Here is a 16,070-nt window from a genome sequence, read left to right as displayed (position 1 = left end):
CATGCCCAGCCAGATTCAGTTTCTTCTACTGTACTCTTGCAACACAGAATGCTTCCGTTCTCCCAGATGTGTTGGGTTTTCCATCACATCAATCAAGCAGTTCTGCCGTGGATATATGACCTGGGTGTCCTCCCATTCAGTTCAGTTCTTACACTGTCTGGATATGGCATCACATCCCACAGGTGTAGGGCTCAGTCCCACAAGGGTGCAGCCACCTCATTGCCATTCACAAACACAGATTGTGGCTTGGGTTTCTCACTAACTGGCTTAAGTTGTAAATTCTCATCACCTTTTCGTTGGGATCAATTAATTTGTTAGAGTGGCTCACAGAATTCAGGGGAAGACTTGATTCATATTGATTCATTTATTGCTGAGGATATAACAAAGAATGCAGGTGGAAGCGATCTATTGGGTGAGATAGGGAGAAGGGGCTCTGAGCTTCCATGCCCTCTGTGGGTGCACCACTCAAGGAGCCTCCATGTTATCATCTGTCCCAGATGCTCCTCAGAACCTTAATTTTTTGCATTTTTGTGGAAGGTTCATTACATAGGCATAACTGTTTACATTATTGGCCATGGATGTTCAACTGAACCTTCAGCCCTTCTTCCCTTTTGCAGTGTTGGAGATTGAGCCTGGAAGTCCCAACCCTGTAATCTTTTATTTATTTTTATTCTTATTTATTTATTTTGAGACAGAGTCTCACTCTGTCACCCAGGCTGCAGTGTGGTGCTGTGATCTCGGCTCACTGCAACCTCTGCCTCCCAGGTTCAAGTGATTCTGCTGCCTCAGCCTCCTGAGTAGCTGGGATTGCAGGTACGCACCACCATGCCCGGCTAATTTTTGTATTTTTAGTAGAGACAGGGTTTCACTGTGTTGGCCAGGCTTGTCTCAAACTCCTGACCTCAAGTGATCCACTGGCCTTGGCCTCCCAAAGTGCTGGGATTACAGGCATGAGCAATGGCTCCCAGCCTAACCCTGTAATCTTGCCTTGGTCTTTCCAGTGTCCAGCCCACACCCTGAAGCTATCTAGCAGCCTTCAGCCACCAGTTAGCCTCACTGACATACAAAAAGATACTTATCACCTCACAGATTTCAAGTGAGCCCTTTTCAGGAAAAGGGGAGGAAGATCAAATCTGTATGTACCGTGATCACAGCCTGGATGTGTCAGTCTGCTTACGTGAATTGAACCTATTCTTACAGCTCTCTCCTCTTCTTGTTTTATGTGAAGATTCAAATTTTCCTCATAGTCACTTGGTGAAATGTGTTTTTCATTTTAGGGACAGTTGACATTCAAGGATGTGGCCATAGAATTCTCTCAGGAGGAGTGGACATGCCTGGACCCTGCTCAGAAGACTTTGTACAGGGACGTCATGTTGGAGAATTATAGGAACCTGGTCTCCCTGGGTGAGGATGACTTTCTTTTAGAAGTCAGGGTCTGTTCTCGTGTATGTTTTCATTTTCCCTTGTGAGTCTCTTGAGAGCCCCTGCATTGCTTGATGAGGATTGATGTCCTGTTGACTCATAAATGAAAAGCCTAATCATGCAGGATCTGGACTTTAATCTTGCTGTTTCTCGAGATGGTCTGCCCACTTTGTGGAGAGTTTTAGAGTTTTGTATGCATAATACCTTGTACCAGACTTTTAAAATGTTTGATTTTCTGTTTTCTACTTCTGTGCTTTTGATTGAGTGGTTCATGGAAGAAAGCTAGATATCTGCGTAGTGTGGTGTTTCCTAACCACTCAGGAGGCATTCCGTGGATCAACTGTTGAAATGTTTTTCCAAATCCGTCTACAGTTTCCTCTCTTCTCATGTAAACCTAAGGGTACGATTCTGGAAAAGCCACAGCACATTATATTTCTTTTTTTTTTTCTTTCTTTCTTTTCTTTCTTTTTTTTTTTTTTTTGAGACGGAGTTTCACCCTTGTCACCCAGGCTGGAGTGCAATGGCACGATCTCGGATCACTGCAACCGCAACTACCGCCTCCTGAGTTCAAGCGATTCTCCTGCCTCAGCCTCCCGAGTAGCTGGGATTACAGGCTTTAGCCACCATGCCGAGCTAATTTTTGTATTTTTAATAGAGACAAGGTTTCACCATGTTGGCCAGGCTAGTCCCGAACTCCTGACCTCAGGTGATCTGCCCAACTCAGCCTCCCAGAGTGCTGGGATTACAGGCGTGAGCCACCATGCCTGGCCTTCTTTCTTCTCATAAGCAGGAATCTCTCCTTTTGATCTGAGTATTATCTCCTTGTTGGAACAAGGGAAGGAGCCCTGGAATGTGGAGAACCAAGAGACAATAGAAACTGGGAGTGGATCAGAGGTGGGATCACAGGTCAGAGTTCAGATGGGCAGGGAGAAAGCATCTCATTAGACAGTGTTTGAGAAACACCCTGCAAATGGGAGAGTTTTTTGGGAAAATAAAAGTTTATATCCTGTGATCACTGATAAGAATTTTTTTCCCTACCACTTAATACCCTGTTCTTTAGATGTGTAAAACTTCATCCTTCCAACCTGCAGTGGCGCTACAGCCCAAAGAGCAACACATGCAAAGTCTTGGTCATGATCTACAACCGTCTGTTACTGGCTTTCTATGAACTCTTAGTCCCTTTCAAAAGGGTTGCTCTCCTCCTTAGTCTCTCCTTCTGTGCTTGATTCAATCAAAAATCCTTATTTTTCTGTCCACAGAGACAGATGTGAGGACTCCATAGTTTTGGCAAGTGCCTCTATCCATACTTTATCCCATTTCATGAGCTTGGAAGACCTACTTCCAAGAGATGGAAAACACTGGCTGCTTCTCCTTTGCACCTGGGGCCCCGGAAACTTCACGGAACTGTCTTAAGCTTTCCTTGCCTGTTGAGGTCTCAGCTACTTCTTCTCTTCCACTTTGTGACAGTTTGTGGGTGTGGGTGACAAGGGGAGTGGGTTGGATCTTCTGAGATGGTTAGCCAAATTGTTAAGTACAGTGGACAGAAATGTCCTCTCTTTGATCCCAGTCCTACATCGGGCATGTATCCTGTTTTTTTCACACTTGAGCATGGGATTCATTGAACAAAACAAACCTGGAGGCATCACACTACCTTACTTCAAACTGTATTATGAAGATATAGTAATTAAAACAGGATAGTACTTCCTTAAAAATAGACACATCAACCAGTGGAACAGAATAAAAAGAGTAAAAAATGCTAGATGCGGTGGCTTTCCCCTGTAATCCCAGCAGTTTGGGAGGCTGAGGTGGGTGGATCACGAGCTCAGGAGTTTGAGACCAGCCTGTCCAATATGGTGAAATGCTGTCTCTACTAAAAATACAAAAATTAGCCAGGCATGGTGGTGCACACCTGTAGTCCCAGCTACTTGGGAGGCTGAGGCAGAAGAATCACTTGAACCCGGGAGGCAGAGGTTGCAGCGAGCTGAGATTGTGCCACTGCACTCCAGCCTGGCGACAGAACGAGACTCCATCTCAAAAAAAAAAAAAAAAAAAAAGAGTGAAAAAAAAAATGATGGATATATGGCCAGTTGCCTTTTGACAGAGGTACCAAGAACACACAATTAAAACAAGGACAGTTTTTTCAATAAGTATTGCTAGAAAAAAGCAATATCCACACACAGGAGAATGAAATGGATGTTAATCTCACACCAGATACCAAAATTGATTCAAAATGTATTAAATACTTAAACGTAAGACCTGATAATGTAAAACTACTAGAAGTAATCATAGGGGAAAACCTACATGACGTTATCAATGATTTTTTGGCCTTGAGCCCAGAAGCTTGTGCAACAAAAGCAAACAGATAAATGGGGTAGCATCTACTGAAAATGCTTCTGCACTGCAAAGGGAACAATTAACATAATGAAGAGACAACCTACGGATTGTGAGAAAGTATTTGCAATTTGTATATTTGACACCAATTTAATGTCCAAAATGTGTGAGAAATCGAAACTACTCAATAGCATGAAAACAAACCAATTTAAAAAATGGCCAAGGGATCTCAATATACATTTTATTTCCTTTTTTTTTTTTTTTTTTTTTTGAGACAGAATCTCGCTCTGTCACCCAGGCTGGAGTGCAGTGGCGTGATCTTGGCTCACTGCAATCTCCGCCTCCCAGGTTCAAGTGATTCTCCTGCCTCAGCCTCCCAAGTAGCTGGGACTACAGGCGTGCACCACCACGCCTGACTAATTTTTGCGTTTTTGGTAGAGACAGGGTTTCACCACATTGGCCAGGCTGGTCTCAAACCCCTGGTCTCACATGATCCATCCACCTTGGCCTCCCAAAGTGCTGAGATTACAGGTATGAGCCTCAATATACAGTTCTTGAAGGAAGGCAGACAAACAGCCAACATCACTACTTGCAGAGATAAAAATTTAAAGCAGCATAAAATATCACGTAGTTGTCAGAATGGCTACTGTCAGGAGGACAAAAGATATGTGTTAGCAAAGATATGGAGACTGGGGGTTCTCATACACTATTGGTTGAATGTAAATTAGTCCAGGCATTATGAAAAATTATGTGGAAATTTCTCAAAAAAATAAAAATAAAAGTACTATATTATCCAGCAATCCCACTTCTGGGTATACAGTTGGCCCTTGAACAGCACAGGTTTGAATTCCATGGGTCATCTTATATATGGGTTTTATTCCAGTAAATATATTGGAAATTTTTAAAGACATTTCCAACAATTTGAAAAAGCAGACAAATTGCATAACCTAAAAATATTATAAAAATTAAGAAAAAATTAGGTATGTCATGAATGCATAAATTATTACTCTATTATTTACCACCATAAAAAATACACAAATCTGGCCGGGTGTGGTGGCTCACACCTGTAATCCCAGCACTTTGGGAGGCCAAGGTGTGTGGATCACCTGAGGTCAGGAGTTCGAGACCAGCTGGCCAACATGGTGAAACCCTGTTTCTACTAAACATACAAAAAGTAGCTGGGTGTGGTGGCACATGCCTGTAATCCCAGCTAGGTGGGAGGCAGAGGCTGGAGAATCACTTGAACCAGGGAAACAGAAGTTGCAGTGAGCCGAGATCACACCACTGCCCTCTAGCTTGGGCATCAGAATGAGACTCTCTTTCAAAATAAAAACACAAATCTATCATAAAAAATTAAAACTTATACACACACTTACTGCATGTGACATACAGTACAAAAATCAGCTGGGCGTGGTGGCAGGCACCTGTAATCCCAGCTACTCGGGAGGCTGAGGCAGAGAATTGTTTGAACCTGGGAGGCGGAGGTTGCAGTGAGCCAAAATCACGCCACTGCACTCCAGCCTGGGTGACACAGTGAGACTCCGTCTAAAAAAAGAAAAAAAAAAAAAAAATATATATATATATATATATACACACACACACACACAAATGTAAAGATATAATAATCATAATTGTATAGAACTAATTTTAGTACATAGTGTACTGCCATACAATTTCATAGCCACCTCCTATTGCTATTACATGGAGCTCAAGTGTTGCAAGTATTTGCTTAATACACTCTGTAACGCTAATCATCTTTAAGTAGTTCATCTCTCCAGTAAATTGCATATCATAATAAAAAGTGATCTCTTGCCGCATGCGGTGGCTCAAGCCTGTAATCCCAGCATTTTGGGAGGCCAAGGTAGGCAGATCATGTGAGGCCAGGAGTTCGAGACCAGCCTGGCCAACATGGTGAAACCCCGTCTCTACTAAAAATATAAAAAATTAGCTGGGCCTAATGGTGGGCACCTGTAATCCCAGCTACTTGGGAGGCTGAGGCAGGAAAATTGCTTCAACCCGGGAGGTGGAGGTTGCAGTGAGGTGAGATTGTGCCACTGCACTCCAGCCTGGTGACAGAGCAAGACTCCGTCTCGAAAACAAACAAACAAACAAACAAAAAAGGAATACAGTATATAATACATATAACATAAAAAATACAAGATACATTCTAATCGACATTATATGTTTATTAGTAAAGCTTCCAGTCAATCGTAGGCTATTAGTGGTTAAGTTTTTGGGGAGTCAAAAGTTATACACAGATTTTCAACTGAGTGGAGGGTTGGCATTCTTAACCCCTACATTGTCCAAGGGTCAAGTATAGATCCAAAGGATTTAAATCAGCATATCTATGACGTATCTGCATTCCATGTTTAATGCAGCATTGTTCACAATAGTCGAGTTATGAAATCAAACTACGTGTTCATTAACAGATGAATGGATAAAGAAAATGATGGAACACTGTGTAGCCTTTAAAAGAAGGAAGTTCTGTCTGCCAGAACATGGATGGACCCCGAGGATATTTTGCTAAATGAAATAATCTAGGCACAGAAATACAAGTACTGCACCTTCTTACCTATATGTGGAATCCAAACCTCTTGAACTCATAGAAAGAAGAACGTTGGTTACAAGAGGGTGGGGTTGGGGAGATTAGGAAGATGTTTGTCGTTTCAACACAAAGGTTCAATTAAACAAGAGTAAATGACACATTTTTCACATGATGGATGTGGTAATAAGCGTGATTCCATCATTCCACATTCTATATATGCATCATGACATCATTTTTTCCCCATAAATATATACACCTGTAGTTTGCCATTATACAATAAAAGTTTTTTTTAAAAAAGTTATATTCCATTCCTCACACCAGTTAGAATGGCAATCATTAAAAAGTCAGGAAACAACAGGTGCTGGAGAGGATGTGGAGAAATAGGAACACTTTTACACTGTTGGTGGGACTGTAAACTAGTTCAACCATTGTGGAAGTCAGTGTGGCGATTCCTCAGGGATCTAGAACTAGAAATACCATTTGACCCAGCCATCCCATTACTGGGTTTATACCCAAAGGACTATAAATCATGCTGCTATAAAGACACACGCACACGTATGTTTATTGCGGCACTATTCACAATAGCAAAGACTTGGAACCAACCCAAATGTCCAACAATGATAGACTGGATTAAGAAAATGTGGCACATATACACCATGGAATACTATGCAGCCATAAAAAATGATGAGTTCATGTCCTTTGTAGGGACATGGATGAAATTGGAAATCATCATTCTCAGTAAACTATTGCAAGAACAAAAAACCAAACACCGCATATTCTCACTCATAGGTGGGAATTGAACAATAAGAACACATGGACACAGGAAGGGGAACATCACACTCTGGGGACTGTTGTGGGGTGGGGGGAAGGGGGAGGGATAGGCTTTAGGAGATACACCTAATGCTAAATGACAAGTTAATGGGTGCAGCACACCAGCATGGCACATGTATACATATGTAACTAACCTGCACATTATGCACATGTACCCTAAAACTTAAAGTATAGTAATAATAATAAAAAAAGAAATATTTCCATTAAAAAAATTTTTTTTAAAGCCATCCAACCTATTTTCCAAAGTGGTTGTAGCCTTTTACATTCCCACTACCAGTGTGTGAGAATTTTAGTTTTTTCACATCCTTGTTAACACTTGGTATTGCTAGTTTTAAATTCCAGCCTTTCTAATCAACATTTAGTAGTTTAATTTGTATTTTCCTAATGACTATGATGTTGAATATCTTTTAATGTGCTTATTATCTATATATATTAATATTTTCTTTTGTGCAGTGTATGTTCAAATCATTTTCCAATGTTTAAAATTGGGCTTTTTGTTTTCTTAATATTGAACTTTGAGAGTTCTTTGTATATTCCAGATACAAAGTCTTTATCAGATTTGTGCTTTGTGAATATTTTCCCTCAGTCCGAGTCTTCATTCTTTTAACAGTGTGTCTTTATAAATTAATTCTTTTTTTTCTTTTATGGATCATGATTGTGGTATCATATCTAGGAAATCTTTGCTTGATCCGAGGGCTCCACAGATTTTTCCTCATGTTGGTTTTCTAAAAGTTTTATGGTTTAGATTTTACATTAGGTTTTCATCTGATCTATTTGAGTATATTTTTCTATATGGAATGAGGTATAAACAAAAGGGTTTTTTTGCATATGAAGATCTAATTGTTTCAGCACCATTTTTTAAAAAGACTGTCTTTTCTCCATGGAATTGCCATTTATTCTTTGTCAAAAATCAGTTGTCTATATAACGTGAGTCTATTTCAGTATTCTCTATTTCATTCCATTGATCTATTTGATATTTGTCTAATCAACAATAATCACACTGTCTTGATGACTACACTTTTATAATGAAAGCAGGTAGTGATAGTGTTACAACTTTCTTCTTTATCAAAATTGTTTTAATTATGCTAGATCCTTTCCATTTTCCTATGAATTTTAGAAAGCCTGTTAATTTCTCAAAAAATACATGCTGGAATTTTGGTTGGGATTGTGTTGAATCAATAGGCTAAATGGGGAGTGTTGCTGTTTTAACAATATTGAGTCTTCTAAATGCTGAACAAGATATATTTAGCTTTTCATTTATTTAGGTCTTCTTTAATTCCTCTCTGCAATATTTTATAGTTTTTAGTGTATAGGTTCTTCATATCTGCTGTCGGACTTTTCTCTAAGTATTTAATGTTTTTAAAGCTATTGCAAACTGCATTTTAGAAAACTTTCTGATTATTCATTGCTAGTATATAGAAATAAAATTGATTCTTTGGGGTATTGATAATGTATTCTTCAACCTTGCTAAACTCACTAGTTCTAGCAGCATTTTTGTAGAGTATATTGAATTTTCTCAAGGATGATTATGTTATCTGCAAATAAAGACAGTTTTATTTCATAAAAAAAAATTATATTCCAGTTCTTATATCCTGTGCTGGTTCTGAAGTAGAACTCCTCTTTTCTTTCTTTCTTTCTTTTTTTTTTTTTTTTTTTTTTTTTTTGAGAGGGAGTCAGGCTGTGTCGCCCAGGCTGGAGTGCAATGGCACAATCTCGGCTCACTGCAAGCTCCACCTCCTGGATTCACGCCATTCTCCTGCCTCAGCCTCCCGAGTAGCTGGGACTGCAGGCGCCCGCCACAACGCATGGCGAATTTTTTGTATCTTTAGTAGAGACGGGGTTTCATCGTGTTAGCCAGGATGGTCTCGATCTCCTGACCTCGTGATCCACCCGCCTCGGCCTCCCAAAGTGCTGGGATTACAGGCGGGAGCCACCGGCGCCCGGCAGACTCCTCTTTTCTCAAGAGAAATTGTTGGCCAAGCACCCTGGCTTACGCCTGTAATCCCAGCACTTTAGGAGGCTGAGGTGGGTGGATCACGAGGTCAGGAAATCGAGACCATCCTGGCTAACACGGTGAAACCCCGTCTCTACTAAAAATACAAAAAATTAGCCGGGCGCGGTGGCGGGCGCCTGTAGTCCCAGCTACTCGGGAGGCTGAGGCAGGAGAATGGCGGGAACCCGGGAGGCGGAGCTTGCAGTGAGCCGAGATCGCGCCACTGCCTGGGTGACAAAGCGAGACTCTGTCTCCAAAAAAAAAGAGAGAGAAATTGTTGACAATCCACAGACTATAACTTCCTGTAAACACGGTTACTAATTCTTGCCTACTGCTTATATCCTGAGTTGCTAAAATATTTTCTTAATTTCGATTATTATTGATAGAGGATGGTTTTTTACCATTTGTAAGAAATACAACTGTTGGGGCTGGGCGCAGTGGCTCACTCCTGTAATACCAGCACTTTGGGAGGCTGAGGCGGGGGGATCACCTGAGGTCGGGAGTTCGAGACCAGCCTGACCAACATGGAGAAACCCTGTCTCTACTAAAAATACAAAATTAGTCTGGCCTGGTGGTGCATGCCTGTAATCCCAGCTACTCAGGAGGCTGAGGCAGGAGAATCGCTTGAACCTGGGAGGCGGAGGTTGCGGTGAGCCGAGATTGCACCACTCACTCCAGCCTGGGCAACAAGAGCAAAAGTCCTTCTCAAAAAAAAGAAAGAAAGAAAGAAAGAAATATAACTGTTATATACCACTTGTTAATGTTGCAAAATGTTTGCTCTGTGTGGGTATATAGGGGTATGTAGTTTTATAACAGGTATTCAGAAAAATAGTTTTTTCTGACATTTTAAAATTGAATTCCTCCTCGTTTTTTCAGTGCTATTATTGTTTTCCAATTCAAAATTACTAGTTCTTTAATTATTCATTACATATGTTTGCTGTGAGTTATTTGCCATTAGAGTATATCATGTTGTGCTTCAGCATTTACTTATGCATAACAAATATGCTTTAAATAGGCACAATCTAAGAATTATTTCTCTTGAATTCTGTGACAGCCATATAAAATATACTGCCAATTGGTAGCCTTGGGTCATGGTTGAAAAATACTCCTTTCAGGGCTAATATGGGTTTGCACAATATGAGTGTTTTGTTCACAGAATGTTTAAAACTAGGATCCCCTACTATTTGAATTACATGTTACCACCTTTTCTTTGATAAGGAATCCTGTTCCTTTTGTGTTCTGGAAAATTATGGTTCTGAAGAATCGTAAGTCTGTTCAACATAACTATTACTTTTGGTGTAACATTAGGTTTTTCAATGGGAAATAGTTATTTACCTACTATAGTTAACTGGAAATCTATGGTTGTTTATATCTTACAGATATCTCTTGTAAATGTGTAAACACGGATTTGCCACCAAAGGGGAAGAACAATATGGGAGAAGCGTTCTACACGGTGAAGTTGGAGAGACTTGAAAGCTGTGACACTGTAGGCTTGTCCTTCCAGGAAGTTCAGAAAAATACATACGACTTTGAGTGTCAGTGGAAAGATGATGAAGGAAATTATAAAACAGTACTTATGTTGCAAAAAGAAAATCTCCCTGGTAGAAGAGCTCAACGTGATAGAAGGGCTGCAGGAAACAGGCATATTGAAAATCAGCTTGGAGTAAGCTTTCAGTCACATCTCCCTGAACTGCAGCAATTTCAACATGAAGGGAAAATTTATGAATACAATCAAGTTGAGAAGTCTCCTAATAATCGAGGAAAACATTATAAATGTGATGAATGTGGCAAGGTCTTCAGTCAAAACTCACGGCTAACAAGTCATAAGAGAATTCATACTGGAGAGAAGCCTTACCAGTGTAATAAGTGTGGCAAAGCCTTTACTGTTCGTTCAAACCTAACAATCCATCAGGTCATCCATACTGGAGAAAAACCTTACAAATGTAATGAATGTGGAAAGGTCTTCAGTCAACCTTCAAACCTTGCAGGTCATCAGAGAATTCATACTGGAGAGAAACCTTACAAGTGTAATGAGTGTGGCAAAGCCTTTAGAGCACATTCAAAACTAACTACACATCAGGTCATCCATACTGGAGAAAAACCTTACAAATGTAAGGAATGTGGCAAGTGCTTCACTCAAAATTCACACCTTGCAAGTCATCGAAGAATTCATACTGGGGAGAAGCCTTACAAGTGTAATGAGTGTGGCAAAGCCTTTAGTGTTCGCTCAAGCCTGACTACCCATCAGACAATCCACACTGGAGAAAAACCTTACAAATGTAATGAATGTGGCAAGGTCTTCAGGCACAATTCATACCTTGCAAAGCATCGGCGAATTCATACTGGTGAGAAACCTTACAAGTGTAATGAGTGTGGGAAAGCCTTCAGTATGCATTCAAACTTAACTAAGCATCAGATCATCCATACCGGAGAAAAGCCTTTCAAATGTAATGAATGCGTCAAGGTTTTCACTCAGTATTCACACTTAGCAAATCATCGAAGAATTCATACTGGAGAGAAACCTTACAGGTGTGATGAGTGTGGCAAAGCCTTTAGTGTGCGATCAAGCCTAACTACCCATCAGGCAATTCATACTGGAGAAAAGCCTTACAAATGTAATGACTGCGGTAAGGTCTTCACACAAAATTCACACCTTGCAAGTCATCGGGGAATTCATTCTGGAGAGAAACCTTACAAGTGTGATGAATGTGGTAAAGCCTTCAGTCAAACATCACAACTTGCAAGGCATTGGAGAGTTCATACTGGAGAAAAACCTTACAAGTGTAATGAGTGTGGCAAAGCCTTTAGTGTTCATTCAAGCCTAACTATACATCAGACAATACATACTGGACAAAAACCATACAAATGTAATGATTGCGGCAAGGTCTTCAGACACAATTCGTACCTTGCAATTCATCAGAGAATTCACACTGGTGAGAAACCTTATAAGTGTAATGAGTGCGGCAAAGCATTTAGTGTACATTCAAACCTAGCTACCCATCAGGTCATCCATACTGGAGAAAAACCTTACAAATGTAATGAATGTGGCAAGGTCTTCACTCAAAATTCACATCTTGCAAATCATAGAAGAATTCACACTGGAGAAAAACCTTATAGGTGTAATGAGTGTGGGAAAGCCTTCAGTGTTCGTTCAACCCTAACTACCCATATGGCAGTCCATACTGGAGACAAACCTTACAAATGTAACCAATGTGGCAAGGTCTTTACTCAAAATTCAAACCTTGCAAAACATCGAAGAATTCATAGTGGATAGAAACCTTACAAAGGACGCCGGGCGTGGTGGCTCACGCCTGTAATCCCAGCACTTTGGGAGGCCGAGGCGGGGGGATCACCTGAGGTCTCGAGTTCGAGACCAGGCTGGCCAACACGGTGAAACGCTGTCTCTACTAAAAATACAAAAATTAGCTGGGTGTGGTGGTGCACGCCTGTAATCCCAGCTACTCGGGAGGCTGAGGCAGGAGAATCACTTGAACCTGGGAGGCGGAGGTTGCAGTGAGCGAGATCATGCCATTGCACTCCAGCCTGGGCAACAGGAGTGAAACTCCATCTCCAAAAAAAAAAAAAAAAAAAAAGTAACCTTACAAAGGAGTGCGGCCAGTTTTTCAGCCACAAATTCTTTCACAACATCAGAGAATTCATTCTTGAGACAATTCTTACAAATACAGTGACTGTGGCAAACTCCTGATGAGTTTAAGCATTAACAGACATCAGAGTTCAAATCCTGTGAATATACTATGTATGACAGAAGCTTTATCCAGGTCTCAGAGCTCAATACGCATCAAAAGATACATCTTTGATGAAGTCACACAAACGTAACATGCATGCTGAGACTATTACTCCTGGACCACAACTGTAGGTGAGGATTCATAGGAAGAGTAGAACTCAGTCTCTAGTTTCCTCATAACCCTCTGATATTATATACTTCAGCATAATCAGAAGTCCAAATGTGTTAAAACTCATTACATGATACATATCAAAGGTTGTAGGATGTTTGGAAATGGCCAATTACTTTCAGCTTATAAAATGTTTTGTTGAAGTATTTAAGATTTATTGAAAAGGCTACTATTTATAACTTCCAACCAGAACTTTGCAATGTGCTGATTTTATACATGATTATACGCCTAACATGGTGTTGTTCGGGAAAGAATCAAAGGATGGAAGGGCTCACTCACTTCATTAGGTGAGGATTATTTCTCTCCAAGCTCCTGAAGAAAAAAGACTCTGCCTTTTAAAATTAAATATAGTCTGAATTAGAGAGCACTTGGAAAGGGCAGAGGATGATGAACTATGATGTCACTCATCATCCTTATTGCACTGCAGGTGCCCTTCTTCTGACAGAAGAGCACTGTGGGTATGGGAAGAAATTCTCTACTGGCCGGGCACAGTGGCTCACGCCTGTAATGCCAGCACTTTGGGAGGCCAAGGTGGGTGGATCACCTGAGGTCGGGAGTTCGAGACCAGCCTGACCAACATGGAGAAACCCCATCTCTACTAAAAATACAAAATTAGCCAGGCATGGTGGCGCATGCCTGTAATCCCAGCTACTCAGGAGGCTGAGGCAGGAGACTCGCTTGAACCCGGGAGGCAGAGGTTGTGGTGAGCCGAGATCATGCCACTGCACTCCAGTCTGGGCAATAAGAGCGAAACTCTGACTCAAAAAAAGAAAGAAAGAAATTCTCTACCAGTAGACCATGAAATAGAGCCAGGAAGACACTCGGATTTTTATTAGAGGAGAGTAATAGCTTATTAGGGACTGATGTGTGGTACAAATAATGCAGAAAAGTGGAGGCTACCTTCTCCATCAAATGCCAATAGCTGTTGCATAGCAAAGATTGATTTTTTTTTTTTTTTTTGAGATGGAGTCTTGTTCTGTTGCCCAGGCTGGAGTGCAGTGATGCAATCTCAGCTCACCGCAACCTCCGCCTCCTGGGTTTTAGCGATTCTCCTGCCTCAGCCTCCCAAGTAGCTGGGATTACAGACATGCACCACCACGCCTGGCTAATGTTTGTATTTTTAGTAGAGATGGAGTTTCACTATGTTTGCCAGGCTGGTCTCGAACTCCTGACCTCATAATCCGCCCACCTTGGCCTGCCAAAGTGCTGGGATTACGGGCTGGAGCCACCGTGCCCGGCCGGCCGAGCATAAGAAGTTTAATCAAAGTAACCAGAATCCCATGTTTGTTACTAGGATTTACATTAACTGCTGGAATCACATTTTGCTACTATTTAAGAATGCATCATAGATTTAATGTTTTAACTAATAAAATTTGATGTATTTTATAAGTATGAATGAATCATTTCTTGCCAACATAGTTTTATCCTACCTCAGTAGCATACTTCATAACAGATAACAACACTGCACCATTAAGCTATCGAAGGATCTAGAACAATGATTTCCATTGTTGGATCAAACAACATATAATTTTCAGAAACTAAGTGTATTTTGGTTTTTTTGTTTGTTTGTTTGAGATGGAGTTTCATTCTGTCACCCAGGCTGGAGTGCAGTGGCGTGATCTCGGCTCACTGCAACCTCTGTCTCCCGGGTTCAAGCAATTCTCCTGCCTCAGCCTCCCAAGTAGCTGGGATTATAGGTGCCCGTTACCACACCCGGCTAGTTTTTGTATTTTTAGTAGAGACAGGGTTTCACTATGTTGGCCAGGCTGGTCTCGAACTCCTGACCTCAAGTGATCCACCTGCCTTGGCCCCCCCAAAGCTCTGGGATTACAGGTGTGAGCCACCATGCCCAGCCCAGAAACTAATTGTATTTTGTACTTGAATTATTCTCTCCACACTCTGCCTTGGGATACTTATGTGGTATAATGAAAATCCCACAGAAAGGATATTTCAGACTCTCACACCCTGAAGTCTGCATTGCTCTTCATGCATATGCACAGTATTATTATATTTTTGCATGTCTCTTTCTTGCATGCCAAATAACACCTATGGCATTTATCTTGATGTACCTGAAGTGAAAATACAAGTATAGTAAAAATATGACATATTAGGAAACAAAAAAACTGTGGGGAATATGGATAAAAACAACAACATCTCTTTTTTACCTTTGGAATGCTCAGTGGCAATTGGAAAAATTAATATATATAAATTTTCTTTTAAGAAAGAACATAACACATTCAGATTTTTTTTTTTCCTGGCAGATAAACGACAAAGTTTGTATGTTCACCCTCATAACATTTTGATCATTTGAACTTGTGACCTCTCTACTGGAACTGTATTGAACTTCACCTAAAGGTTGGTTGAGAAGTGTTATGAGACTGTTTATTACATAATGTGGGTTTCTGGGGAAAGCTGGGTAGACTTCCAAAGCTGGTCTAAAAATGGCTTGAGAGCCCAGATAAGCAACTTGCTTGGTGTGTTATGGTTGATAAGGTGTGGGGATGGGTTAGAGGAAGCTTTGTGTGGTTTGAACGTCCATCTAGTGACAAAGGAGGAAGCACTCAAGCATGACCAGTTTGACCAAATGGGCAGAACAGAAGTGCAGAGCTGTAAAAGCGTTAGTAGTACAACATCACAAAATGGAGACTGACGCTAGTACACTGAATTATTTACTCTGGAAAGTTCTGAATTCTTGGTTTGGGAAGACCCCAGTTTTCTTTTTTGTTTGTTTGTTTTGTTTTGTTTTTTGAGACGGAGGCTTGCTCTGTCACCGGGGCTGGAATGCAGTGGCGTGATCTCGGCTCACTGCAACCTCCACCTCCCAGGTTCAAGTGATTCTCCTGCCTCAGCCTCCCAAGTAGCTGGGACTACAGGCATGTGCCACCACGCCTGGCTAATTTTTGTATTTTTAGTAGAGACAGTTTCACCATGTTGGCCAGGCTGGTCTCGAACTCCTGACCTCAAGTGATCCACCCGCCTCTGCCTCCCAAAGTGCTGGGATTACAGGTGTGAGCCACCACGCCCTGCCCTAGTT

At 41.1% G+C, this 16,070-nt stretch overlaps 1 protein-coding gene across 11 annotated transcripts in view; it reads left to right on the top strand.

Moving 5' to 3' along the window:
- ZNF665 (zinc finger protein 665) overlaps window positions 1-14,425 on the top strand; it is a 30,935-nt gene extending 16,510 nt beyond the window's left edge. For 7 of the 11 annotated variants that reach the window (NM_001353459.2, NM_024733.5, NM_001353458.2 and 4 more), the window contains 2 exons: window positions 1,278-1,404; window positions 10,502-14,425. In NM_001353459.2, coding sequence (NP_001340388.1) covers window positions 1,278-1,404; window positions 10,502-12,396 — 2,022 coding nt within the window. In that variant the 3' untranslated portion in view covers window positions 12,397-14,425. The remainder of the gene's footprint in view (window positions 1-1,277; window positions 1,405-10,501) is intronic. The other 4 variants (XM_047439451.1, XM_047439450.1, XM_047439448.1 and 1 more) reach the window with 1 other exon arrangement.
- Window positions 14,426-16,070: the final 1,645 nt, after the last annotated feature.

Source organism: Homo sapiens, chromosome 19 (genome assembly GCF_000001405.40).
Source record: "Homo sapiens chromosome 19, GRCh38.p14 Primary Assembly".
NCBI classification, from domain to species: Eukaryota; Metazoa; Chordata; class Mammalia; order Primates; family Hominidae; genus Homo; species Homo sapiens.
This window is presented reverse-complemented; position numbering and strand designations above follow the sequence as displayed.